At 51.1% G+C, this 25,114-nt stretch overlaps 2 protein-coding genes and 1 pseudogene across 20 annotated transcripts in view, besides 8 other annotated features; 2 read left to right on the top strand and 1 right to left on the bottom strand.

Annotated features, from left to right (window-relative positions):
- The window catches only part of MVK (mevalonate kinase), a 24,854-nt gene extending 19,297 nt beyond the window's left edge, over positions 1-5,557 (bottom strand). For 9 of the 15 annotated variants that reach the window (NR_182758.1, NR_182760.1, NR_182759.1 and 6 more), the window contains exons 1-3: positions 4,956-5,035; positions 3,929-4,020; positions 2,684-2,831 (exon numbers count right to left, since the gene is read on the bottom strand). Coding sequence is in view for 10 of the 15 variants with exons in the window: in NM_001414512.1 (NP_001401441.1) it covers positions 2,684-2,831; positions 3,929-4,006 (226 nt within the window). In the remaining 5 variants the exon portion in view is untranslated. Of the gene's footprint in view, positions 1-2,683; positions 2,832-3,928; positions 4,021-4,153; positions 5,036-5,257 lie in introns of those variants that run through there. The other 6 variants (NM_001414511.1, XM_047428873.1, XM_017019313.3 and 3 more) reach the window with 6 other exon arrangements.
- Positions 4,795-5,024: a silencer, noted in NCBI's record as "silent region_4841". NCBI's record gives its function as "represses an Ori minimal core promoter by ATAC-STARR-seq in GM12878 lymphoblastoid cells {active_cell/tissue: GM12878}" and the evidence as "EXISTENCE:reporter gene assay evidence [ECO:0000049][PMID:35858748]".
- Positions 4,795-5,433: a biological region, named in NCBI's record as "H3K27ac hESC enhancer GRCh37_chr12:110011201-110011700".
- Positions 4,934-5,433: an enhancer, noted in NCBI's record as "H3K27ac hESC enhancer chr12:110011201-110011700 (GRCh37/hg19 assembly coordinates)". NCBI's record gives its function as "activates a minimal SCP1, AML or CMV promoter by ChIP-STARR-seq in naive H9 embryonic stem cells {active_cell/tissue: H9 hESC(naive)}" and the evidence as "EXISTENCE:reporter gene assay evidence [ECO:0000049][PMID:30033119]".
- Positions 5,045-5,174: a silencer, noted in NCBI's record as "silent region_4840". NCBI's record gives its function as "represses an Ori minimal core promoter by ATAC-STARR-seq in GM12878 lymphoblastoid cells {active_cell/tissue: GM12878}" and the evidence as "EXISTENCE:reporter gene assay evidence [ECO:0000049][PMID:35858748]".
- MMAB (metabolism of cobalamin associated B) lies at positions 5,325-25,114 on the top strand. Of its 5 annotated transcripts, NR_038118.2 has the most exons (10): positions 5,325-5,482; positions 7,119-7,180; positions 9,966-10,059; positions 13,653-13,710; positions 16,977-17,049; positions 17,312-17,409; positions 17,500-17,586; positions 17,725-17,789; positions 19,674-19,733; positions 21,693-25,114. NR_038118.2 is itself a non-coding variant. In NM_052845.4 (9 exons), the coding sequence occupies exons 1-9, from the start codon at positions 5,349-5,351 to the stop codon at positions 21,799-21,801; spliced, it is 753 nt and encodes a 250-aa protein (NP_443077.1). In that variant the 5' UTR covers positions 5,325-5,348; the 3' UTR covers positions 21,802-25,114. The 5 variants fall into 5 exon arrangements, 4 of the variants coding, with proteins under 4 accessions (NP_443077.1, XP_011536571.1, XP_011536569.1 ...); NM_052845.4 differs by lacking the exon at positions 17,500-17,586; XM_011538267.4 differs by lacking the exons at positions 5,325-5,482; positions 7,119-7,180; positions 9,966-10,059 and adding exons at positions 10,071-10,324; positions 10,436-10,574.
- Positions 5,434-5,935: an enhancer, noted in NCBI's record as "H3K27ac hESC enhancer chr12:110010699-110011200 (GRCh37/hg19 assembly coordinates)". NCBI's record gives its function as "activates a minimal SCP1, AML or CMV promoter by ChIP-STARR-seq in naive H9 embryonic stem cells {active_cell/tissue: H9 hESC(naive)}" and the evidence as "EXISTENCE:reporter gene assay evidence [ECO:0000049][PMID:30033119]".
- On the top strand, positions 10,714-10,854 carry RNU4-32P (RNA, U4 small nuclear 32, pseudogene; annotated as a pseudogene).
- Positions 14,996-15,496: an enhancer, noted in NCBI's record as "H3K4me1 hESC enhancer chr12:110001138-110001638 (GRCh37/hg19 assembly coordinates)". NCBI's record gives its function as "activates a minimal SCP1, AML or CMV promoter by ChIP-STARR-seq in naive H9 embryonic stem cells {active_cell/tissue: H9 hESC(naive)}" and the evidence as "EXISTENCE:reporter gene assay evidence [ECO:0000049][PMID:30033119]".
- Positions 16,782-17,281: an enhancer, noted in NCBI's record as "H3K4me1 hESC enhancer chr12:109999353-109999852 (GRCh37/hg19 assembly coordinates)". NCBI's record gives its function as "activates a minimal SCP1, AML or CMV promoter by ChIP-STARR-seq in naive H9 embryonic stem cells {active_cell/tissue: H9 hESC(naive)}" and the evidence as "EXISTENCE:reporter gene assay evidence [ECO:0000049][PMID:30033119]".
- Positions 20,690-21,191: an enhancer, noted in NCBI's record as "H3K4me1 hESC enhancer chr12:109995443-109995944 (GRCh37/hg19 assembly coordinates)". NCBI's record gives its function as "activates a minimal SCP1, AML or CMV promoter by ChIP-STARR-seq in naive H9 embryonic stem cells {active_cell/tissue: H9 hESC(naive)}" and the evidence as "EXISTENCE:reporter gene assay evidence [ECO:0000049][PMID:30033119]".

Here is a 25,114-nt window from a genome sequence, read left to right as displayed (position 1 = left end):
TCACTCGCTGAGCCTCAGGTCACATTCTCAAGGGACTGGGAAATGGAATTGGGCATGCGTGTGTTAGGAAACTTCGGGCACTGGTTAAGTACTGGGTAAATGTGTGTTGAATGGATTAATGATATACTCAAATGGCCAAGTCATGGCATCATTGAGAACCCAGGTATTTCAGAGCTTTGTAATCGAGATGGAACAGCTGTTAAGAGCCTGGACTTTGGGGCTAGGAGAAACCTGGGTCTGAATCCTTTCAGTGTCACCAACAAGTGTAACCTGAGCCACTTGACCTCTGAACTTTAATTTTCAGATCTGTACAATGGGGATGAATACCACCACCTACTTCCAGGGAATGCTGGCGAATTCTAAGAGTGCTAACATATGTGAACACACTTAGTGCCTGGCACACGTAAGTGCCCAATAAGTGTTCACTGTAGTAGCACGGTGCAGTGGTATGTGCTTATATTCCCAGCTACTCGGGAGGCTAAGGCAGAAGAACACTTGAGCCCAGGAATTTGGGACCAGCCTGGGCAACATAGTAAGACCCTGCCTCTTAAAAAAAAAAAAAAAGTTCAATGTTTATTACTATCAGGAGGGAGCAAAAGGACACTGAAAGAAAGATGGTAGATCTTTGCAACCTAGAAGATAGTATGTCTCCCAGAGCTCCAAAACTAACAAGCCCTTCCCTACATAATGCACTCTGTGTCGCACCCCTAATGCCTGCCTCCAGTGTCGTCGGATCCTCATGGCAGCCCTCAGTCAGGAAACATGTCTCTGCTCCGAGGCCCAGAGGATGAAGTGACCTGCCCCAGGTTCACTGAGGGAGTTGGAGTGGTCTGAGACATGTTCCCCCATACCTGGCTGCTTCCACCCCAAGCTACTGACATACACAAGTTGCAGCTGGTTCTCAGGAGACATTTCTGGTCTGGCTGGGTGGCCCTGTGCACCTTGGAAAGCAAGTTCCATGTGCTCTGGCTGGTTGTTTTCAGATGCACGCTCCAAAGGAGTGGCTTTTAACTGAGGTGTCCCCAGAATCACCCAAGGAACCCCTTTCAAAAACTCCTACCACCACTACCAACTCCCAATAAGAGAGGGGCGGAGCCAGGAGCCCATCCATCTGTATTGGTTAAAAAAAACCACCACCACCATCACAAAAAACTCCTGGGTGATTCCAAGATATGATGAAGTTAAAAAGGGCTGCTCTAAAATGAGGATTTTGGCTGGGCACAGTGGCTCTCACCTGTAACCCCAGCACTTTGGGAGCCCAAGGTGGGAAAGTGGAAAACTGCTTGAGCCCAGGAGTTCCAGACCAGCCTGGGCAACACAGTGAGACCCCATCTCAACAAGTGAAATGAGAATTTTCAACTCTTCCTCCATCCCCATACGGCATATGGGAGTGACTGTGGTTTCTCATGGGGAATGGGAAGCAGGTGTCAAGGGTTCAGGTGCAGTGTAAGGAAAAAACCCAAAAAGATTCTCATTTACCCCATCCTGGCTGAGAAACACTGTTCCAAAGAGCAAGGCTTCATTCAGCCCAGGGAGCAGACAGTAAACTGACAACAGAGAAAACACACGTCAGCTCTGGGGCAGGTACAGGGGACTCCACTGATGGAAAAAGCTGGCCTGCTTATGAGTGGATGAAATCTTCACAGTGCTGTCAAAAATCAGCACACACACGTGACACACAAAGAAAAAATCAGTACTTCTGAATGGTTTATATGGCCTGACCCAATTTTGGTTAAAAAACCAAGATATCTCCCTGTCTCTATCAATCTTTCTATCAATCTACAGAAAATCACCCAGAAGGATTAATGCCTAAATGCTTAGAGTCATTACTGGGGTCAGGGAAAGGAGAAGGGAAATAATAGGTGATTTTTAAAATTACAATGTCCCAGTATTGACTATATTTTCCAATAATAAGCATAGGTAACTTGTACTTTTATTAAATTTTTTTTTTTTTTTTTGAGATGGAGTCTTGCCCTGTCCCCCAGGCTGGAGTGCAATGGCGCAATCTTGGCTCACTGCAACCTCTGCCTCCCAGGTTCAAGCGATTCTCCTACCTCAGCCTCCTGAGTAGCTGAGATTACAGGTGTGTGCCACCACACCCAGCTAATTTTTGTATTTTTAGTAGAGACATGGTTTCGACATGTTGGCCAGGCTGGTCTCGAACTCCTGACCTCAGATGATCCGCCCGCCTTGGCCTCCCAAAGTGCTGGAATTACAGGCATGAGCCACTGTGCCTGGCCTACTTTTATCAATTTTTAATTATACAAAATGCCAATATATTCTCCTTATTTAAAACATGTGTCACTTTGTCTACTCTCTGGCCCTAGGTCTCTCCCAGGAGAACTAATCACCACTGCCAATCTGATGTCTATGCCCCCGAGACCTTTTCTATCATTTATACACATATTTATACTTAAATACGTATGTTTGCTGTTTTGCATTTTTTTCACTCAACAATAGGCCTTGATGATCTGTCCACAACAGCCCACAGAGATCCAATGCATTGTTTTACACCTATAAATTTTAAAAAAATAAAATGAGTGAAGCTAATTTTATGAGGTCAGGGTAGAAAACACCCGGGAAATAGCTGGCCCCTGGCTCCCTTGGGGACAGCCCAGAATACCTGGCCAGCTGCCCTCTCTGTAGGCTCTTAGCACACCTGGTTTCTCCTCCTTGCACTCACCCAGAAAGCTTGTGTCCAGTGACTGAAGCCTGGCCACATCCCAGGCCCGCTTGATACCAATGTTGGGTAAGCTGAGGTCCACTTTCCCATTGCTGTGGGGTTGAAGCCGGAGGAATGTTCTCAAGTTCAAGGATACAGCCAGTGCTACCTATAGAATAAATGACAAAAGCAATAAGCCTGAGGGTGAGTGGCAAAGGGGCCAGGACCCACGTGCTAAGAAGAGAGCAAACATAAGCACAGAGGCCACTCCTAGCCATGCCCTTGCCAGACACTGCTAATCAACCTTGGCATGCTCTCCCACTAAGCCTGGGAACAGCCACCATCGATCAGCTAAAAGTTAAAATCCACTTTGCCTTCTGCCTGCAAAATTTCAGAGGTTCTCAATACCAAGGAATCACTTCCCCATAATCACCATGTTTTCAATGAGAAATATAAGAACATAAAGAATAGCAGTGAGAAGCCAGGTGTGGTGGCTCATATCTGTAATCCCAGCACTTTGGGAGGCCAAGGCAAGAGGATCACTTGAGCCCAGGAGTTTGAGACCAGCGTAGTGTCAGACCACGTCTCTACAGAAAAATAAAAGAAAAAAATTAGTGGGGCATGGTGGTACACACCTGTGGTCCCAGCTACTTGGGAGGCTGAGGTTGGAGGCTGCAGTGAGCCATGATCGCAAGATTGCACTCCGGTGACAGAGCAAGACTGTCTCAGGAAAAAAAAAAAAAAGCAGAGTGCAGCAGAGGTGGTTTCAGACAGACTTAGGTTCACACCAAGCTCTACCAAGGTATATAGGACTTGGATCAAGTTACCACTTCTCTCCTAAGCCTCAGTTTGCACATTTGTAAAATAGGATAATAAAAGGGTATGCCTTGGGGGTAGCTGTAAGGGTAAAATGAGATAATGGATGTTTTCAACTCCTTTGCTAGATCATCCTTCCAACTTCTAAATGTCTTAGTGCCCCGGAGCTCAGTTCTCAAACCTCTTTCCTTCTGCATCAAAGCTCACTCCTAGGTGATCTCATTCCACTCACAGGGCTTTATATTATAATCATCTTTTTGCTATCATACCGAGCGAGGCCCAAGAATCCCTTCAGTGGGCATAAGAAATCTTTTCCTTGCCTGGCTGGGGAGAACCTGATCTCTCTGATCTGCTCCCAAGCTGTGCCTCAGGGTGTCCTTTTACCTTCTTACAAAATTAGCATCAGGGAGAAGGGGTACCCAATCCTTAAAGGCTCTAACGGCTTTGTACCTTGCCATGTACCACGGCATGTTCTCCATGAAGGATGACTTTCCCCGGAGCAGACACCAGTAGGACTTCTGACAACATGGCTCCTGGGAATCCTAAAAGGGAAAGCCAATGAGAAGAGCAAAGATCTCTAGATGTCAGAACCAGCAGGAAGAGATCTTAGAACACCTAGTTCAAGCCCATCATAATAACAAAAAAGGTAGTTACCGTCCAGCACTTGCTACGTACCAGAAAGGCAATGCAGGAGTCAACTGGACACATCCAACAGATCTGGGTTCAAATGCCAGCTCTTCCACTCCCCAGTGATGTCATCTTAGTTAACTCACTTAAATGGCTAAGAACCTCGGTTTCCCCACACGTTATATGGAGAGAAAATAACCGTACCTACCTCGGTGGATGTTAGGAAGGTTAAATTAACGCAAGGGAAACACTTGGCGGTGTCTGGCACCTACTAATCATTCAATTACTGAGAGCTACTTATTACTGGCTCTGTTCTTCGTTTCAGCTTTTACAACTACTACTATTAAAGGTAGAAATTACATGAAATCATGGAGCAGAAAGAACTCTTTGCTGGACATTTAGGCTGTTTCCAATGTGTCACAATTATAAACAAGGCTGCAGAAAACACCCAGTACGCCTCGTTTTGCACACTTAAATGAGTATTTCTGCAGGACAGAGTCCTAGAAAGGAGCTTGCAGGGTCTATAGGTGTGTGCAATTTACACTTTTATACATAACGCAAAATTATCCTCCGCTTAAGGCTTTACGTAGATTACCTTACGCTAAGATTCAGGTGTACTATGAGCTAAGTACTATCGTGATCCCCATTTCTTAGAAAAACTGAGGCTCAGAGCGGGGAATCCCCTTGCTTGTCAAGCTCAAAATCACGACTGTCAGATTGAGGTCGCCGATCCCTCGGGGCAAGACTCTCAGAGCTGGGTAAACTGAGCCACAGAAGCTGGACGCCTGGCTCAGCGTCGTCCTGGGTCTAGGACCTCGCGCCGCCCGGCCGCCCGACCCCGGCCTCTCACCTGCCGCCGCCGCCGCCTCCCCGGCCGCCGCCCCTCCGCGCCGAAGCCGGAGCAGCTCCCCAACTCCCACAACCCAGAGCGCCCGTGCCTCAAGGGGAGGAGGCGTTGTACTTCAGGCCAGCCAATCAGAGCGCGCGAGCCCGGAGTACCTTTACCAATAGGCTTGAACATTGGTCAATAGGTGTTGCAGCCAAGCCGACACGGGTTTTCCCGCCCCGCTCCTTCCGTTAAACCAATGGGAAACAAGTCCCTGGGAGTGTCCCGCCCTGGGGTGAGAACTGCGAACCAATAAAAATTGAAACCTGAGCGGTGGCGCGGCCAGCTGTGGGTGGAGTCACCCCGCGGACTGGACGGGAACCTGGCGGGGTCAGGTCCCGTCAAGCAGCCTGGCTCATGGCTGTGTGCGGCCTGGGGAGCCGTCTTGGCCTGGGGAGCCGTCTTGGCCTGCGCGGGTGCTTCGGCGCCGCCAGGCTCCTGTATCCCCGTTTCCAGAGCCGCGGCCCTCAGGGCGTGGAAGACGGGGACAGGTGAGTGGCTGGCGGGAAGGGCAACTCGAACACCTGCCGTGAATCGTGGTGTCGTCGCCATGGGTACGTCACACCGCCGTGAGGTCACCGCGGCAACCGTCAGGTGACGTCTCCACGCTGTTCTGACGTCACCATGGCAACGTGGGCCACGTGGGCGCCAGAGACCAGGTAGTCTTTGCCTAAGTCCCAATGAAGTCCCGCTATCATCGGGCAGGGCAGGGCATATCCCATGTGGGCCAGGAGGGCTCTCGACTCAGATTGTGACCAATCTCCAAAGCAGTTTATTCCCCAGGTCCCAGATACACCAGCACCTTCTAAAGATGGCTTTCCTCATATTCCTTGAAACTTGCACCTCAACCCAGACCTCAGAACCTCTAGAGTACCGTGGATTAATAATGGATTAATTTAGTTCACAGATCCAGGAAATTAACCTTCGAATGGGCTTGTAATGTCACATTTTAATTTTGAGCTATGTCCTTGAGTTGTTTACATTGTTTTTTGAAAATGCCACTTTTTGAGCTGTATTTTGGCAATTCTTCATCTCTGAGTACACTCGAAGCCTCATACTATGGAAGTGGCTCAGGTTTCTTTTCCTGCAAGAGGCCCTGAGTTGGTGGAGTATAAGATAAAAATTTGGGTAGGATAGAGTTAAGAGTCCTAGCTACTTGGGAGGCTGAGGCAGAGGATCACTTGAGCTCAGGAGTTCAAGGCTGCAGTGAGCTATGATCATGCCACTGCACTGCATTCCAGCTTAGGCAACAGAGCAAGACCCTGTCTGTGAACAAAATAATCATAGGCCAGATACGGTGGCTCACGCCTGTAATCACAACACTTTGGGAGTTTGAGGCAGGAGTATTGCTTGAGCTCAGGAGTTCAAAACCAGCCTGAGCAACATGGTGAAACCCGTCTCTACCAAAAAAAAAAAAAAAAAAAAATTAGCTGGGTGTGGTGGTATACACCCGTGCTCCCAGCTGCTCGGGAGGCTGAGGTGGGAGGATTGTTTGAGCCTGGGAGGCAGAGGTTGCAGTGAGCCTAGATCGTGCAACTGCATTTCAGCCTGGGTGACAGAGTGAGACCCCATCTCAAAATAATAATAATAATAATAAATAAATAAATAATTTCGGTAGGATAGAAGTTACAGTTTGTGCTCTGGTCTAGGACAGTTTTGGGCATCCCACTCCTGCCTCTTCTTGGATGGTCTAGGAAGGTGTCTCATCTGAGCCATAGTTTCCTCCTCAGTAAAATGAAGAGAATAGGTGTTGGCTACCTTTGGGGTTGTGGAAAGATTCCAGGATAATTCCAGAAGATAATGCCTGTAAACTACTTGGCACAGTGCAGGGACAATGGCAAAGGATCAATCAAGTCCTTCAGCAAATATTTATTGAGCATCTTTGTTGAGCAAGGCATTACATCAGCTACTCTACACACTCTGTCATCCAGCTCTGGTCTTGCCCACAAAATGTTTGCTATTAGAAAGGATCTAGGGGAAAGAAATCAACAAGAGATGACCATCTAAGCAGTAAGGGGTAAGTGCTGCCTCTGAGGTTACAAGCAGCAAGCTGGGACCCTCTGAAGGAGCTGACCCTCTGTGTAAGCCATCCCCACTCACCAGATACTGATGTTTATTTCTCATTAGGCCACAGCCTTCCTCGAAGACACCCAGGATCCCCAAGATTTACACCAAAACGGGAGACAAAGGTAGGGTGGGGACAGGTGAAAAATGCAAAGAAATACTCATGGCATACACCATTTTAAAGTTCTTCCAAATTCTTTGCAGCCACTTTAAAGTATAATATACCAGGCGCGGTGGCTCATGCCTGTAATCCCGGCACTTTGGGAGGCCCTGTTGGGCTAATCATCTGAGGCCAGGAATTTGAGACTAGCCTGGCCAATGTGGTGAAACCCCATCTCTACTAAAAATACAAAAATTAGCTGAGTATGGTGGTCCATGCCTGTAACCCCAGCAGCTACTTGGGAGGCTGAGGCAGGAGAATTGCTTGAACTCGGGAGGCAGAGGTTGCAGTGAGCCAAGATCATGCCACTGCACTCCAGCCTGGGTGACAGAGCAAGACTCCATCTCAGAAAAAAAAAAAGTCTCAGAAAAAAAAAGTATGATATTTGACAGATCTCAAAATATGTTACAAAAATGTAATGTGAAATGAAAAACACCCAAGAGATATTAAATGACAAAAGCCTGAATCTGTCTGGATAAGCATGTACATATATGTGTGTTCAGGTGTGTGTAGAATAGTCTGAAAGGTTACACCTGGGACTGTTCTGGGAGAGAGATTAAGTTGTGAGAGGGGAACAAACAGAAGGACTTTCACTATTTACATACTTTTATTCTATTTTATTATTTTTTATAATGAGTATATATTACTTTAATAGTTTTTAAAATGCTAGAACATGTTATATAGAAAAAAGTAAGATGCAGAAGAATGCGTTGCTATGATCCTTTTTTTTTTTTTTTTTTGATACAGGGTTTTACTCTGTCACCCAGGCTGGAGTGCAGTGGCTCAGTCATGGCTCACAACAGCCTCCACCTTTCAGACTCAAGCAATCCTCCCACCTCAGCCTTCTGAGTATCTGGGACAACAGGCACACATCGCCATGCCTGGCTAATACTTTTTAATTTTTTTTGTAGAGATGAGGTCTTGCTGTGTTGCCCAGGCTGGTCTTGAACTGCTAGGCTCAAGGTATCCTCCCAGCTCAGCCTCCCAAAATGCTGGGATTACAGGAGGCATGAGCTACCGCACCAAGACAGTATACCATTTTTTGTAGTACAAAAGCATGCAGACCACTAGTATGTATTGTTTTTTGGATATATACTTGTATAGTAAAAGTATAAAAGCATGTACGGGACATACTCAGTGCCACTGAATGGTAAACTTAAGAAGGGTCAAAATGGTAAAATTTCTGTTATGTATCATCTGTTACCACAATTAAAAAGAAGGAAGAGGATGTTGGAAAGGACTTATTGTAGGGTTGGGCTTGTGTTGGGTGGTTACAAGGAAGTGGGGCTTTGTTCTGGATTGAATCCTGTTAGGAAGCAGGGCTGTTTCTGTCACTGGGTATCTTTTTTTGTTTTTTGAGACAGGGTCTAGTTCTGTTGCCCAGGCTGGAGTGCAGTGGCACGATCTCAGCTCACTGCAACCTCCTGGGTTCAAGCAATTCTTATGCCTCAGCCTCGCGAATAGCTGGGACTACAGGCATGCATCACCATGCCCAACTAATTTTTTCTGTTTTTAGTAGAGACGGGGATTTGCCATGTTGGCCAGGCTAGTCTCGAACTCCTGGCCTCAAGTGATCTGCCCACCATGGCCTCCCAAAGTCCTGGGATTACAGTGTGAGCCACTGCACCTGGCCTGTAATTGGGTATGTTAATAATTTGTTTCTAGAAGACAGAAGGGACAAAGAGGTGCTAACGCTGTAATGGATAAAGATGCAGCAGTCACTCACATTAGCCAGGGAAGGGGGAGGTTTGGTCATCTTTTGGAGTTTGGACACAGTCGTCTGTGCTCAGACGTTCTTCCGCAGTGGCCTTGTCTTGGTCTCGAACCGTCATAGTCATAGAGTGGCCTGTCTGATGGTTTTCTGTGAAATGGTTTGTGTTCAGCAGAACACCACAGTCTACCTGTGAGTGCCAGGCCGGCACCTGGCAACCCCAAAGCCTGCCCGATAGCGAAAGCCAGCTCCAAACTGTCAGGGGCAGTTTTCACTTTCTCAGAGGTTGGGGGAGAAAGGCGGGACTGTGAGCTAGGCAGAGGCACAGAGGACTTTGACTTCATGTGAAATATAATGGTAATGTATATATGATATAAAATATAGAACGTGTTGTATTTCTTTATCAGGATGGTTAGTATGTGGTTTTTAAGTTGAAAAGCACATCAGGAAAGAAGTGAGCATAGTGGCTAACCCTTGGGGAGTGGCAACTAAAAGGGGTTACATGGGGGCTTTCAGGGTGTTGCTCATGTTCTGTTTATGAAGCTAGGTGCTGATCAAGGAGGTATATTCAGTTAGTAGTAATTCACCAACTTGCACACTTACGATTTGAGCACTTTTCTGTGTATATGCTATATTTCAAGTTGAAAGTTCTTTAAGGGGTGGTACGGTGGCTCATGCCTGTAATCTCAGCACTTTGGGAGGCTGAGGCGGGTGAATCACTTGAGACCAGGAGTTCAAGACTAGCTCGGCCAACATGGGCGAAAACCCGTCTCTACTAAAAATACAAAAATTAGCCGGGCATGGTGGTACACACTTGTAATCCCAGCTACTTGGGAGACTGAGGCATGAGAATCACTTGAACCTGGGAGGGGGAGGCTGCAGTGAGCCAAGATCACGCCGCTGTACTCCAGCCTGGATGACAGAGTGACTGTTCAAAAAAGAGAAAGTTCTTTAAAATCTTTGAAAGTTTAAAAAAAAAAAAACAGCATATCAGGAAAACAGAATCTTAATTTGGGTGGCTAAACATTTTTTTCCACAGGGTTTTCTAGTACCTTCACAGGAGAAAGGAGACCCAAAGATGACCAAGTGTTTGAAGCCGTGGGAACTACAGATGAATTAAGTTCAGCTATTGGGTAAGGGGGACAGGATTGGCCTTGAGGTTGCGTTTGAGTCGAGTATGAGTAAACGTAATGAATGTGAAGCTCTCACGCATGCTGGGCAGCAGCCTCGGAGGTTGTCAGCCCTTATTGAACTTTCCTCAGCCCTGAAGCACAGGCTGGTCAGCTCCACAAGGCTGTGGGGCTGCAGACTCCTTTCCCTTCTGGCCCTGCCTGTGCCTGCGCTGGCCTCTGGCCCATGCCATGTGAAGCTGCCTCCCTCTCATCCCTCACTTTTCAGGTGAGCCTGTGTGTGCCACTGAGGTTAGTATACTGAGTGAAAGAGGTGAGTTAGTATAATGCACAGTACATCCAATGTGATCCCTTTTGTGACTGTTGTTTTTTACATAAGCCAAAGTTTAGAAGGTGGACTCAAGGATGGACCAGATCAGGATGGGCCAGGTCATGCTGTGATCACAGACAACCCCAAAATCTCCTGACTTATGACACCAAAGATGGACTTGCTGTTCCCACTTCATGCCCATCACAGGGTATATTCTTTGGCTCCATGCGGCCTTCATTCTGGGACACAGGCTGCTAGTACAGCTGCTGCCTGGGGCAATTATCAGTCATTGTGGCAGAGGGAAAAGAGGTCATGGTGAAGCTCACATTGGCTCCTGACGCTGCCAGGGGATTGTGCAGTGTCAGTGTTGTCGCCAGTGAGGTTTACCCAAGATGTGATTATTGCTGATTGAAAACTTTTCCCACTACCCCACCATGATGACTTGAAATATAGTCAACATTGGCAGTTTTTGACAGTCTTTATGGAGACTAAACTTTGTTGGTAAATAAAAGTTGAAAAAAAAATGACTAGGTGCAGCGGCTCACATGTCTAATCCCAGCGCTTTGGGAGGCCGAGGTGGGAGAATCACTTGAGCTCAGGAGTTTGAGACCAGCCTGAGCAACATAGCAAGACTTCATCTCTACTAAAAAGAAAAGTTAAAAAATTAGCCAGGCGTGGTGGTGCACACCTGTAGTCCCAGCTACTCAGAAAGCTGAGGCAGGAGGATCACTTGAGTCTGGGAGGTTGAGGCTGCAGTGAGCCATGATCGCACCACTGCACTCCAGTCTGGGTGACAGAGTACGACTCTGTCTCCAAAAGACAAACCTTTCTTGGGAATGATGCCTTCCATTTATTCACATTTCAGCGGCCAGAGCCTGTCACGTGCACATGCCTGACATCAGCGGGGTAGGAGGGGCAGCAAATATTTGCAAGCAGGAGCACAGTCTGCCCAGCATGCCCTACAGGCTGGTGACAGGGGGAGCAGCAACAGTCTCAGGTGCTGGATCCTGAAATCTGACCCCGGGGCCCTGGGGTTATAGGTGCATGGGAGCCAGACAGACCCAGCTGCAAATTTTCAGCACCGCTGCTGATTGTCTCTGGGACGTCAGGTAAATCACGTGGCCTCTGTGAGCCTCAGTTTACGGTTCTGTCAAGTAGTCATCATGATAATTCCCATCTCACTGTTCTTGTGGGGCTTAAATGAGATGATTCCATGTTTCACCCTGAGGACAGTGCCTAGCACAAGTAAAAATAATGTTAGCTATTATCACTCTTCTTTTTTTTTTTTTTCCGAGACGGAGTTTCGCGCTTGTTGCCCAGACTGGAGTGCAATGGTGTGATCTCGGCTCACTGCAACCTCTGCCTCCCGGGTTCAAGCGAGTCTCCTCATTATTACTATTCTTAACACTTACCTGTTCCTGGCTACCATTTCTCCATGGCGGGCCTGACTAGGTGAGATTTTCGGGACAGATAATGGGAGGTACAGATAGTCAGCCAGCCGGGTAGAGAAGGCAAACAAACCCCTTGGTGTGTGTGGGAGGGGGTCCAGAAGAGGGCAGACACAAGACCAAGTGGGCAAAGGGAGAAAAGGCCAGTTCTCGCATCAGCTATTCTAATGAGCTCTAAAACACGAGCCATCGTCTCTCAGTTGAGGAGGAGCGGGAGGTTGGAGAAACCTCAGTTGTGGATTCTTCCTTGGTCAGATATTGACCAAGCATCTGCAGTGCGAGGCGCTGCTCAACAGAGAACCTCAGCCCCGCCTTCCTGAGCTGCAGAGTGCAGGGAGCAGAACCTCAGCCCCACCTTCCTGAGCTGCAGAGTGCAGGGAGCAGGCAGCACTCACTGGGCAGCTACGAGGGTGGGAGCAGGCTTGGGGCAAGTGCCCAGGGTGGGGCCTGCCACTGGCCTGGTCACGGGGCATCCCTCGGCAAGCAGGTACTTCTGCACACCTCCTGTGAGGCAGGCATGGGGCATCCGCTATGATGGAGACAGACTGTGTCCCAGCCTGCACAGCCCTCCCTTTGGTCCAGAGGGGAAGACACACCAGACGGGAATCACATACTGGTGTGTTTAGTTCTAACTGTAAGATGTGCCAGGAAGATGGGCTGGATATTCTCCATTGGCCCTTTCAAATCCCTTCTCTTCACCTTCTCTTTATGCATGGGAGGCTGACCTTATCACCTGGTGGCTGTGCCACCTCGATTCGTTGGTCTTCTGGCATTCAGGTGGGTCCAGCCAGTGGGAGGCACCAGTAGGTGATAGGAGAGTGAGTGCAGAGAGCTCATGAGTGTGTGTGACCCTGTTCCCCAGTGGTGCATGGCTCTGGTGGCAGCTGGGCTCCCTACCTAACTCCCTCCCTGCTGAGTGACTCCAGAATTCAGCTCCCTCCAGGGTGAGTTGTACCTTCCCCGACCCTTGCCCTTCAGGCTCCTGCATTTCCCTGAAACTCTGCCCATACCTCTGTGAATTGTCCCTTCCCAAAGCCCTCCTCCAGGAATCCCTGCAGCGCGCCACTGTCTCCTGCTGGGGCACTGACTGGTGCAGGAGGGAAGTGCAGGGTTCTGAGGGAGGCAGAGCCAGGGTCCTGACCTGTGTCGGGGGGCAGTTTGCTTTCTCTGCCTTATGAGGGAAGTCCTCCCCAGCCTTCAAAGTCTCCCCTCCAGCATCACCTCCTCCAGGAAGCCCTCCCTGCCTCTCTAGCCAAGGTCAGATTAGGCTTCTATTGCTCTTTCCTTCAGAGCACTGATCTCAGTTTGCACCTTCACATTCAGGAGTATGTCTAATCTGATTACCTATCACACTCCTGAATATCACGCTCCTGAACATGAAGGTGTAAGCTTTGCCTGAAGTCCCAGAGACACTCAGCAGCGGTGCAGAATTTGCACCTGGGTCTGTCTGGTTCCCACTCACCTATCACCACAGGGCTGCGGGTCAGAGCTCAGGATCCAGCACTTGAGACTGTCACTGCTCACCCTGTCACCAACTTGCTGGAGAGAGCCTGGGTCAGCTTCTGTTCACCACTGACTCTCCTGGGCCTGGCCAGAGTAGCTGTTCAAAAGGAATTCTTGACTGGAAATAATGAGCATCCGAAAAGGCATTTCAAGAAACAAATACCACCGCCCCCAAATGGAAGGCTATAATGTTCTTATTGTTAGCAAGAAAAATAACATGGCTATTATAGCTAAATTAACTAAATGGCCTGCCACCTGAGAATCTATTGTTTATGGCAAGACAGGGCCTAGGGACATTACATTACAGGCAAATTCTTTTTCCTTTTTCTTCATAGGTTTGCTCTGGAATTAGTCACAGAAAAGGGCCATACATTTGCCGAAGAGCTTCAGAAAGTGAGTAACACCATCTCACCCAAGCTGGGAATCTTCAGCCCCGGTGGCCATCACGGGACTCAGCATCCAGCCACCAGTTACTCTTTGTGTCACCTGGGGCTAGTTACTCTCCCTCTGTGAGCTCCATTTCTTCATCTGTAAAATGCGGACAGGCCAGGTATGGTGGCTCACACCTGCAATCTCAGCTACTTGGGAGACTGAGGCAGGAAGATCACTTGAGGCCAGGAGCCTAGGTAACATAATAAGACCCTGACTCTACAAAATATTTGAAAATTAGCCAGGCATAGTGGTGAATGCCTGTAGCCTTAGCTACTCAGGAAACTGAGGTAGGAGGATCTCTTGAGCCCAGGAGGTCAAGGCTGCAGTGAGCTGTGATCATGCCACTGCACTCCTGCCTGGGCAAGAGATTGAGACCCTGTCTCAGGCCGAGCACCATGGTTCAATTAAGCCTGTAATCCCAGCACTTTGGGCGGCCAAGGTGGGAGCATCACTTCAAGCCAGGAGTTCAAGACCAGCCTGGGCAACTTAGGGAGACCCTGTCTCTACAAAAAAAAAAAAAAATTAAAAATTAGCCAAGTATGGTGGCATGCACCCATAGTCCCAGCAACTTACAAGGCTGAGGTGGGAGAATCGCTTGAGTCTTACAGGTTGAGGCTGCAGTGAGATGTGATTACACCACTGCACTGTAGCCTGGGCAACAGAGTGGGATCCTGTCTTTAAAAAAAAAAAAAAAAAAAAACCTCTGTCTCCAAAACAAACAACTGGAGACATATAATCTTCCTTCACAGGCGAGTGGGGAGGATTGTACTAAATGAGGGAATTTAAAATGCAACGGTTCTCAACCCAGGGCCATTCTGCCCCTCAGGGCCCGCTGAGCAATATCTGGAGACATTTTTGGTTGCCACATCTGGGTGTTGGGGGTGTTGCTGGCATGTAAATATCCTGCAATGCAGGGGACAGCCCCCGTCAACGAAGAATGACCCGGCCTTGAATGGCAATAGCACCGAGGCTGAGAAAGCCGGTGTGAAGTGCCTCGCTCATGCCCGATGCAGAGGGAACCTGGGAAGCCTAGCTGCAGTGAGCCCTCAGCCCGTGGGACTCATGCGTCACAGTGTCACTGTTCTGTTCCCTAAGAAGGAGGGGGCCTCTGACCCACGCAGAGAACTTCAAGCACGGAGACAGGGTCACCACCCCAGAATGCCCAGGGTGCCGCACTTTCCACCTCCACATGGACCCAGGTCCCCAGAAACCGCTCCCCGCAGGGTCAGCCCTTCCCACTTCCGTTCTGAAGCCCAGGCTGGAGCCTGCTCAGGCCCCTGGGAACAGACGGAGGGTAGTAGGTGGGGCTGCCACAGGCTGTGGCTGCAGGAGGAAGCCTCAGCTGCCAGAACATTCTGTGTGGTGGAGGAAGGCTTTCAACCTCCTGAGGAGCCGCGGTAGCAGCGGTCATTTCTGTCTGCTGTACGCGTTGGGTCGCAGCTGTCACGTCACCTCCTCAAGGGCCTTCCCTGGCCACCTAATCTCCAGCTGGGTTAGGCACTGCTCCTGGATTTCCACATCCTCTAACCACAGGCATCACAAGGGGTGTTAACCTGTTCACCCATCCACCTCCCACCCAGCCTTGGCACTGTGAGGGCGGGGACAGTGTCTGGTTCACCTGGGAGCCCCGCCTGGCCTGGTAGCCGCTCGCAGGGCCTGTGGATGAGGCCGGGCAGCAATGCCACTGCTTTCCTCATATCACCCATTTCACCCTCACAGACACCCGTGAGGTGGAAGTTAATGTCCACAGCTTATAGGGAGCCAAACTGAGCCTCAGAAAGGCTGACTTGCCCAGCCCCCACAGCCAGGCATCAGTAGAGCTGGAATCTGATTCCCAAACTGGTGCCATTTCTCCCCAGCCCTTGGGGTACACGCTGCACGTGGCCAACCAAGTGGGTAGTATTATCACTCCCGCTTTGACTGTGAAAGTGCAGAGACCCCAAGCAGGGAAGCAGCTTGCCCAAGGTCTGCTGGTCAGAAGCCCTGGGAAGGTTCCAGCCCAGTGCTGGATGGGCAGCCTCTGCTCTCACACACCATGGCCTGCTTCTTGAATGCTGTCACAGTGGCCATCTTAGGAGAGGTCAGAAGTCGCAGACCTTCACCCTCCTGGTAGCCCACCATCCAGCTTGAGTGGACCCTGGCTGGGCACAAAGTCAGAGGTGGTACTTGTGGTCTTCACATGCATGAGAGCTGTTGGACATTTGTCATGCAGGGGCCTGGAGTCCTGCAGCAGACCTTAACAGACCACTTCTGTTCCAAGCAAACCCACTCCCCACCTGGACAGAGCACAGGCCTCACCCAGCCAGGCTTCCTGCTCCCAGAATCCCCACACGCCTCGGCTGACTACATTCTCCAAGCTCCTTGTCCTTTAGAGTTTAGAAAGCACTGTCACATTTGACCTCTTGGCCCAACTGTTACAGGTTAGAAAACCAAAGCTGTCAAATGTTGAGAAAAGAAGAAAACCTCACAGGGCCTAGGTGCACAGGAGACGTGGACAGAGCCCAGACGGTTCCTCTTGACTGTCCCTGGGTGTGTGATGCGTGTCATCTGCTTAACCCAGCTGCTGCCCCCATGGGAGCCTTTTCCTCCCTCAGACTGCAAAAGAGCCACACCAGGTCCCCCTCAGCAGGGCTGGGTGTCCAACGAAGATGTTGTGCTGAAAGTTCAGAGTTTGCTTTCAAATGTCAGCCAGTTCAAGGTCTGATAGCCTGTATTAGTCTGTTCTCGCACTGCTATAAAGAACTACCTGAGACCGGATAATTTATAAAGAAAAGAAGTTTAATCTGCACATGGTTTTGTGGGCTGTACAGGCTTCTGCTTCTGGGGAGGCCTCAGGAAACCTACAGTCATGGCGGAAGGCAAAGGGGAAGCAGGTACATCTTCACATGGCTGATAGGAGAGAGAGAGTGTGAAGAGGGAGGTGCTACACACTTTCAAACAACCACATCTCATGAGAACTCTATCACAAGACAGCACTAGGGGGCTGGGGCTAAACCATTCAAAACTACCCCAATGATCCAATCACCTCCCACCAGGCCCCACCTCCAACTCTGGGGATCACAATTTAACATGAGATTTGGATGGGGACACATTGCCAAACCATATCACAGCCCTTCATGAGCTAGCTGGCACAGGCTTTGCCGGCGTATTAGGTGGCGCCTCTGCACATTGTCTCTGTCCAGCCCATCTCACATAGATCTTGACTGTCACTTTCTGTCGCCCCCCAGATCCAGTGCACATTGCAGGACGTCGGCTCGGCCCTGGCGACACCATGCTCCTCGGCCCGGGAGGCTCACTTAAGTAATTCTCAAACTCCTGTGGGTGTTCAGAGGGCCCTAGGGTCAGGGGACTCTCCTAGGGTCACCATCTGGGATCCCAGGCCCCCAGGGACCCACGGGTGGGTCAGTTAGCCTTGCTCGTAGCTCCTGGGAGGGAAGGTACCTTCTGAGCCAGTGGAAGCAGTCTGCGGGACACCCAGGTGGAAGGGCGGCGGGGGTGGTTCCCGCCATGGTCTGGTGGGTGATGGCCTCATGGCAGTTCCCTCTGCTCCTTGGCTCCTCAGAGTATACCACGTTCAAGGCGGGGCCCATCCTGGAGCTGGAGCAGTGGATCGACAAGTACACCAGCCAGCTCCCACCACTCACGGCCTTCATCCTGCCTGTAGGTACTGGGCAGGCTTAACCGGGGGCGGCTGCAGGCAGGTTCAGTGACAGACACACATGGGCTCTGAATAAATCCCTCTTTTCACAGTGACAGACGCTGTCCTCCAGTTCCCCAAGTCCCTCCAGGTCCTCACCGGTCCCTCCCAGCCCTGCCCACTCTGGAGCAGCGTGCCCGGTGGGTGTGCCGTGGCAGGGCTCCTGGAGGCAGAACACTGCCCGGTTTGGGGGGCAGGGCTGGACTTCAGAGGAGCTCCTGTCCGCAGTGGGCACACCTTTCCCACCCTGCTCAGGCAATGTCCCTTTCTCCTTTCAGTCGGGAGGCAAGATCAGCTCGGCGCTGCATTTCTGCCGGGCCGTGTGCCGCCGGGCCGAGAGACGGTAAGAGGGCTGGAGAGAGGGAGAGGGCCCAAGGGAGAGGGAGAGGAACAAGGGGGAGGGGGGAGGGAGAGGGAGAGGAGGACGGAGATGGGGAGAGGGAGAGGGGCCTCTGCACAGCGGGCAGGAGGCAGGTACAGCAGGGCCATCTCTGAGCCATCCAGCCACACATCAACAGACCTTGTCTGGGCCCCTCCACTGTGCCAGACGGGGACCAGGACAGACCAAGTCCCTGTCCTCAGAGCACCATGTTGTGAAGTGGAGACAGTGACATGTGACCAAATAGACTATCAGACAACACAATTGCACCTTGTTTGTGAGCCCTGTATTCTGAGAACAGCAGGAAGTTATTGCTGGGTTCTCAGCCTCAGCCATCTTGGGGACAGGGGTAGACATGAAAGGACCCTGCTGGCTGCTGGGTGCATAAGGCTCCTGAAAGGCCTGCATGGCTGTGGGGAGCCCAGGTGGACGTTGTCAGCAGACTAGCCACCACCTCCTCCAAAGCTACTGACAGCCTTTTCAAGGAATCTTTAGAAGAAAATGAGCAAAGTCTCTATCTACACCACTCAGAGACCAGGCTGCCAGCCAGCTTTACAGAGAAGAGAAAGCAAGCCCTACTTTGATCCAATGGACTGGCACTTTATGTTCATAATTTCATTTACTCCTTGTTGATAGCCCTGGGAGAGAGGTGGTGGTGGCCTCTGTTTTACAGGAGTCAGGAAGCTGTGGCTCAGAGAAATGACACCATGGTCACGGTCCCCCACATGGTTGATAGCAGAATCCAGATTGGAGTCCACGTCTGTCTGGGCCAAGCCTGAGCTCTTCCACGGTCCCACACCACTAAGGTTTTGTTCTTTATGAAAGGCTCTCGGGCCCAGATAGCTCCTTAGAGATCCCAGGTAACAGAACAAGCTTTGGCTTCAAAAGAAAAAACTGTCATTTGTACAAAGCCATCCATCAGCAGTGCTCATAATAGCAAGAAACTGGAAACAACCCAAAGGCCCCGAAAACAGGCATGGCGGAGCAGCTGATAGGTCCTCCATGCAGCAGAGAGTTACGCAGCCATGGCAGTGGCAAGGTGCAGATTGTCCTGAGGTGGGGACACACACCTGGGGCACCTCGGGTGAGGAAGCTCCTCGCTGAGCATGCGGTGCCCACTAGAGACAGCCTGGAGCTCTGTGACAGGCCTGGGTGCACACCCTCCTGGGCCGCTAGCCGGGTGCATGGCTTTGGGTGGGGATGAGAACCCTGAGGCTGGGCTTTGGGTAGCTGGCTTGCCAACAAGGGGTATGCCACAGGGTGATACCTGGGAAAGGCTCGGCAAGGGCCCGCCACCACACTGGTGCCCAGCAGATGGCCGTCCAGTGTCTAATGTATCTGCAAATAGACTGGCATGGACCCCAGGAATCCAGAATCCTGCGGAATCAGGAGCTTGGTCTGCCTGGGTCTTTTTCTCCCCTGTGAAGTTGTTCTAAGTCATGATGTACAAGGGGCTTAGAGTTTAGCCCATTGGGAATTAAGGGTCAGGCCCCCACTTCCTTTGAAGGCTAGAGGCAGACCACCCCAACTTCACCCCACCCAGACCCAGGTCCAGTGGTACAAAAGCTGGCTGGCTGGGGTGTGGTGTAGGCCAGGTGGCTCCCTCAACTCACCAGCCATCCTTGATCCCTCCTTGGCCAGGCCGTCCTGCGATGTGCTGGTGGAAAGGGGGCCGATGGCCTGTTTAAACCCACCTGTGATGGATTTGTCATCTCCACTGCCGGCCGAGCCTGTGCAGGTTCAGGTTGAGCGGTGGCAGGATGTGAAATGCTGCTCAAGGTTTAGGCCCAGGTCAGAGCCTGTTGAGCCCCATAATGTCACGTGACTCAGTGTCTCCTCCCTTTCTAGTGTGGTGCCTCTTGTCCAGATGGGAGAGACCGATGCGAACGTGGCCAAGTTCTTAAACAGGTACTCGCGTGGAACCTGGGGGTTCCTCTCTGAAAGCCGAGGCTCATCTGTGGGAAGTAGCAGCGGTGCAGCGGTCCGGGAAGCAGTGTGGGGCAGCATTCCCGCACCCCCTCCTTCATTCCCTTAGTGTTTATGAACATCTGCTCTGTGCCAGGCACCACGCCGGGCACAGGGGAGGCAGTGGTGAACAAGGTGGGCCCTGTGCCTGTCCCGATAAGATTTAGATCTTATTGGGAGAGGCTGCTGTAAAAACCAGGAAGAAAAACCTAAGTGCAAAGTGGCATTGCGGGGGCAAAGGGCGTTCTTAGAGGCTGGGTGCTCAGGGGAGGCCTCTCGGTGGTGACTGACCAGGGAGCCAGGCTTCAGGCCCTCTCTCAGCCAGTTTCCTGTCCCCGAGAGGGCCTGCGGCAGCATGAACCAACAAGAGAGCCGGGCCAAGCTGCGCTCAGGGGACCCCATGCAGGCCCCAGTGAGCCAGGCTAGCCCAGGGAGGGCTTCCTCTGCCTCGCGGCCGGCCCATGAGGCTGGAGCCACACCTGGCCCAAAGCCTGCTCTGCGGGTTCCTGCCCCAGCCCTGGCTTCTGTGGCATCAGTGTGGGCAAGGCCAGAGCCTGGGGGCAGGTAGAGAGCTGGGGGAGCAGGTCTGCACCCCAGGAGCTGTCCTGGGTGTCTAGAAAGTGACCTCAGGCCCTTGACTGTGGCCACTCCTCCCAGAGACATGGCGCTTTGACGGGTCCTGAGCAGCTCCTTTCCTTCTGGGAGGGGGGTTTCGCCGGGAGTGAGGAGCAGGTCTACTTCACCTTCAAAGCAGCAACCCTGCGGTCCCATAGCATTGCACGGGACAGGCCATTTCATCTCCTCAGTGAGGCTTCACAGAGCCAACAAGCAACAGGCACACCACTGCCCTCCAGGAGCATGCGGCCCAGGGGTAAAATACCCTGAACAACCTCCCCTTCGCTCTTCCTGAGAGCCAGCCGTGGGGCCCAGGGGGCCTGAGTCAGGGGAGGACTCAGGAGGATGTGGTGTGGAGCTGGCCTCTGAGGGCAAGACTGGGGCAGAGAGAGAGGGAGGAACGTGGTGCCTCGTGCTGGGAGTGAAACAGCAAAAGGTGCGGACAGCAGAAGGCAGAAGAGCTGACAGCGTAAGCGCCTTCTGGGGCCCGTGGCGTCGTCCTCTAGTTCCCTCCACTGCTGCCCCTGCAGAAGGCCTCATGCACAGATGACCATTGCTGTTGGTTCAAAGGAGGAGGCGGGAAAGGGGCTGGGCTCTGGTCTCTAGAGTGCTCCAGCCTGTGCTTCTCACCCGGTACCTTTGGCGATGTTTGGAGGCATTACTAGTTGTCACACTGGGTGCAGGGGTGCCACTGGCACCTGGTGGGTGGAGACCAAAGGTGCTGTCAGCATCCTACACTGCACAGGATGCACAGGACAGCCCCGAACACACAGAATGATCCAGAATGTCAGTAGGGCCTAGTCCAGCAGTGTCAGCATCAGCCAGGGCAGGAACTAGACCTGCAGAGCCCCGGGCCCAGCCCAGCCCAGCCCTCCTGAGTCAGAATCTGCACGTCGCTGAGATCCCCTGGTGATGCCTGTGCACACTGTAGTTTGGGAAACACCCAAACTGATCACGCACCTGAGCCCTGATCACTCAAAGGTGCAAAAACCGGCTCAGAGAGGAGTCCAAAGTCATCTGCCCCATGGGGTAGGGCCGGGGCAATGGCCTCATCCTGCAGGAATGGCCCCAGCCTTGACACTGGAGTAGAGTCCTTGGCATTCACAGCAGCTGGCCTCGTGTGCCATCCATTAAGTGCAAGATGGCTGGGCCCCCGCCCTCCCTGCACAATGTGCCCAGAGTGCGTCATTTATATCTCCTCCTTGTAGGCGGATATGGGAAGACCCAGTTAGCGTTGATCTCTCATTTCAAACCATTCTGTTTGCTTCTCTCTCTCTGCCCCTCCAGACTCAGTGACTATCTCTTCACGCTAGCCAGATATGCAGCCATGAAGGAGGGGAATCAAGAGAAAATATACATGAAAAATGACCCATCGGCCGAGTCTGAGGGACTCTGAAATCACAGAAAGTGGGAGCTTGGAGGATCCCTCCATGGCGATGGCCGTGGAGAGAGGAGCTTGCCCTTCTGGGGTCCTGGTTCCTGAAGAGCTCACCCAGAGAGGCTCAAAGCAGCCTTTTGTCCCAGCTCAGCTTTGATCTACACCTCTTGCCACCTTCCTCAAGGGACTGTGACCCTTTGGGGATTCTGTCCCTGACCCTGCTTCCCCAAGCTCTCCTGGGTCTTGGAGGGATGTGGGAATGAATTGGCATTGCAGGAAAGACAGGTAAAGTGATTGCTGCAATGAGAAGGAGCTGTGCGGAAAAGGAATAAAAGTTGGAAAGGCTGGAGCCGTGTGTGTGTGTGTGTGTGTGTGTGTGTGTGTGTGTGTGTGTGTGAGAGAGAGCCCTCCCACTGCCAGCTCAGGTTGTTCACAGATTTGGAATGGGACCAGAGGCCCTTGAAAATGTAATTGTGATTTACCTGTGCCAAAGGTGCTTTAAATGTCACATTTGTAAAGGGGAAGGCGGACAAGATTTGGAAGTTTAGTCACCTCTGAGCCACCCATCACCGCCAAAGTGTGGGGGAAGGATAGCTGCAGATTGACAGGCGAGGCTCAGAAACTCCTGGCTTAGATTGAAGTGTGTGTGATGGGGGTGCAGCTTAGAGGACCCCCTCTGAAAGGGATGGAGATGCTGATGAGAACAACACTACCACTTGAAGGTGAACATTCCCTGTCTGGTTGGACTGAGTCAAGGGTCTGCGGTGCAGCATCTTCAGCTTGAGAAAATGAGGTTGTCAGTTTCCAGCAAGGCTGACATCCACCAGACTGATTTCTCCGATGTTGCACTTGGCTGGCTTATGCCTCTGAGATCGGTGCCACGGCTGTATTTATTTCAGTTGTCACTGCTGCTCCCTCCTGCTATGAAACGACACTGCCAGTGCCAGCAGTGTCCTTGGGAAAGGCAATATTTATGAAGGGCAGAAGAGGCAGCCCCAAGAACCTAAAGACTGCAGGCTGCTAATTGCAGGAAATGACTTTGGAAGGGCAGGCTCTTGTCCAGTTTCAGGGCTGAAATGCCTGGCGAACTCCATTCAGCCATCACATATTGACTGAGTGGCTGCTTAGCATGGGCCACCGCGCTAGGCTCGGGACAGCTGGTCTTTCCGGCCATCTTTCTTGCTGGCAAGTCAGCAAACATTACCTTCTTAGTCACGTGCATATTTTTGCCTTCATTCTTACCACCTGGCCTGCAAAGTTTGCAGGAGGGCCAGGTATATTCACTTGTGTCTTCTGGGTCCTTTCATTGCTGACAGGCTGTGATGGCCCTCTTGAGCCTTGGGCAGGGTGGGTGAGGTGCAGATGACCAGGAGTGTGTGAATGCCTTCCAGGAGGTGGCTTTGTTCCGTGCCTCCCTGCCCCCATCGTCACTACCAGGTCTGGTACGGAGTCGGTGCTCAGTGTTTGCAAAACAGAGCTGAAAACGGACTTTGGGAGGCCGAGGCAGGCAGATCACCTGAGGTCAGGAGTTTGAGACCAGCCTGGTCAACATGGTAAAACCCCATTTCTGCTAAAAAAAAAAAAAAAAAAAAAAAATTAGCTGGGCATGGTGGCGGGTGCCTGTAATCCCAGCTATTCAGGAGGCTGAGGCAGGAGAATCACTTGAACCTACGAGGCAGAGGCTGCAGTGAGCCAAGATCGTGACACGACACTCCAGCCTGGCTGATAGAGTGAGACTCCGTCACAAAAAAAAAAAAAAAAAAAAAAAAACCCTGAAAACGCAATCACTAAGGCTCGGTCAGGGAGTATGTTCAAAGAGCTTGCAGCGAATCACTCAATTCTGTCTACACCTCAAAATCTCAAAATCTTCCTGGAATATATATATATATATAAAATAACACAGCAGCCCTGCATGCCTAGCCATGGGAAAGCACAGCCTCCAAAGGATAAGGAAAGCTTTTTGAGTAAATACAACATCCTAAAGTGACAATCTTTGAAACAAGGCCGTTCACCTGTTGCCAAGTCCTGTCCTTCCAGGACCGGGTGTCACAGCCTGGATGTTAACAGTCGCGTTCTCAGACCCCCGCCTCTGTATCTGTCTCCCGGTTCACCAGCAAACACTTCTCTGAGAAACCACCTGGGTGCAGGGCAGATGCCACCACTCAGCAGGTGTTTCTCTCCTGTGCTACCAACCTGGGAAAAATGGAGAAAGCTTGCTTTGGGGGCTGGAAGGATGGGGTGTTTAAAACATTTGCTCTTCTGCAGTGCCTTTCAAAAGCTCTATCAAGAGCCCGAGGCAAAAGAAAAGATGTGTACCCCTCTGTACACTGAGCAAATGTCCTCCCATATTTTGAACCAGGTGGGAAAAGTTAATGAAAGCCCTACAGTCAGGAAATGTGACTGCGAAGCCCCCGCTGCCCCAGTGTTTGCACACCACTGGCAACTCTCAGAAACAATCAGTCCCATTGCACGGGAACACGGGGTTTTGAAACAAACAGCAGCCTGTTTTTATTTAAAGTCGTGATCCCTTGCTTATCGTAGATTTTTTTCATAATTTGATTTTGGAAAATATTGCACACAAATACTACTCGATCCCTGAGTTTGTGGGCACTTCCTTACATTTTGCACCCATGAAAATGCCTCCTCCGCCTCCAGGTCAGGCTCCCTGGAATGGGGTGTTTAGTGTCATTTCCAGAGACAAGCTGGCAGTTGGCTCTTGTGTCAGAGAGAAGCCCACAGTCACAGTGACACCAGCCCGCACTGTGGAAGGGCTTGCTATGTGCAGTGCCCTGAGCCAAGTGTTCCACAGACATTATCTCATTTGAACCCCATAGCAGCCCTGGAAGGAGGCATTGGGTGGGGAACCAAGTTGTCCTGGGGAGTCAGTGCCAAGATGTGAGCCCCGGACGCGGCCTCGTCACTCACAGCCCCGTGCTCCTCAGCTCCCACCCACTGCCGCTTGACAGTCGTTTTAATCACTACCTGGGCTGTGGCGAACAATGCCAGGCTCTGATAGATCCTGCTGTCTCATTTCTCAACCTAGTTTCCCTTAACTAATATTTCATGGCTATCGTTAATGTGCGTTTTTCATCGAGTAATTTCCACAGCCCGAACTTGTAACACATCCCAATGACAAACGTCCCCAGTTCGGAAGCCCCCGTCAGTGGCAATGTCACCCTTGCTGCTGCCTCGACACCTTCCGACAGCCCATTCAGTTTTATGATCGCCCTGTCCCAGTGATCACTACTGAACCTTTAAGAATCCAGATGCATTTCAAGTTTAATTGAATAAAATTCTTTGTATAATAAATTCCGCATGAATGCTACATAAA

Source organism: Homo sapiens, chromosome 12, assembly GCF_000001405.40.
Source record: "Homo sapiens chromosome 12, GRCh38.p14 Primary Assembly".
Taxonomy (NCBI): domain Eukaryota; kingdom Metazoa; phylum Chordata; class Mammalia; order Primates; family Hominidae; genus Homo; species Homo sapiens.
Note: the sequence above shows the minus strand (reverse complement) of the source record. Positions and strands in the feature narration are given on the sequence as shown.

Excerpts from the sequence above, each read along its gene's own strand:
- MMAB (NM_052845.4), top strand. The coding sequence starts at position 5,349 with ATGGCTGTGTGCGGCCTGGGGAGCCGTCTTGGCCTGGGGAGCCGTCTT. Across the intron at positions 17,050-17,311 it reads GGCCCGGGAGGCTCACTTAA|AGTATACCACGTTCAAGGCG; the intron begins GTAATTCTCAAA and ends TTGGCTCCTCAG. Across the intron at positions 17,790-19,673 it reads TGCCGCCGGGCCGAGAGACG|TGTGGTGCCTCTTGTCCAGA; the intron begins GTAAGAGGGCTG and ends CTCCCTTTCTAG.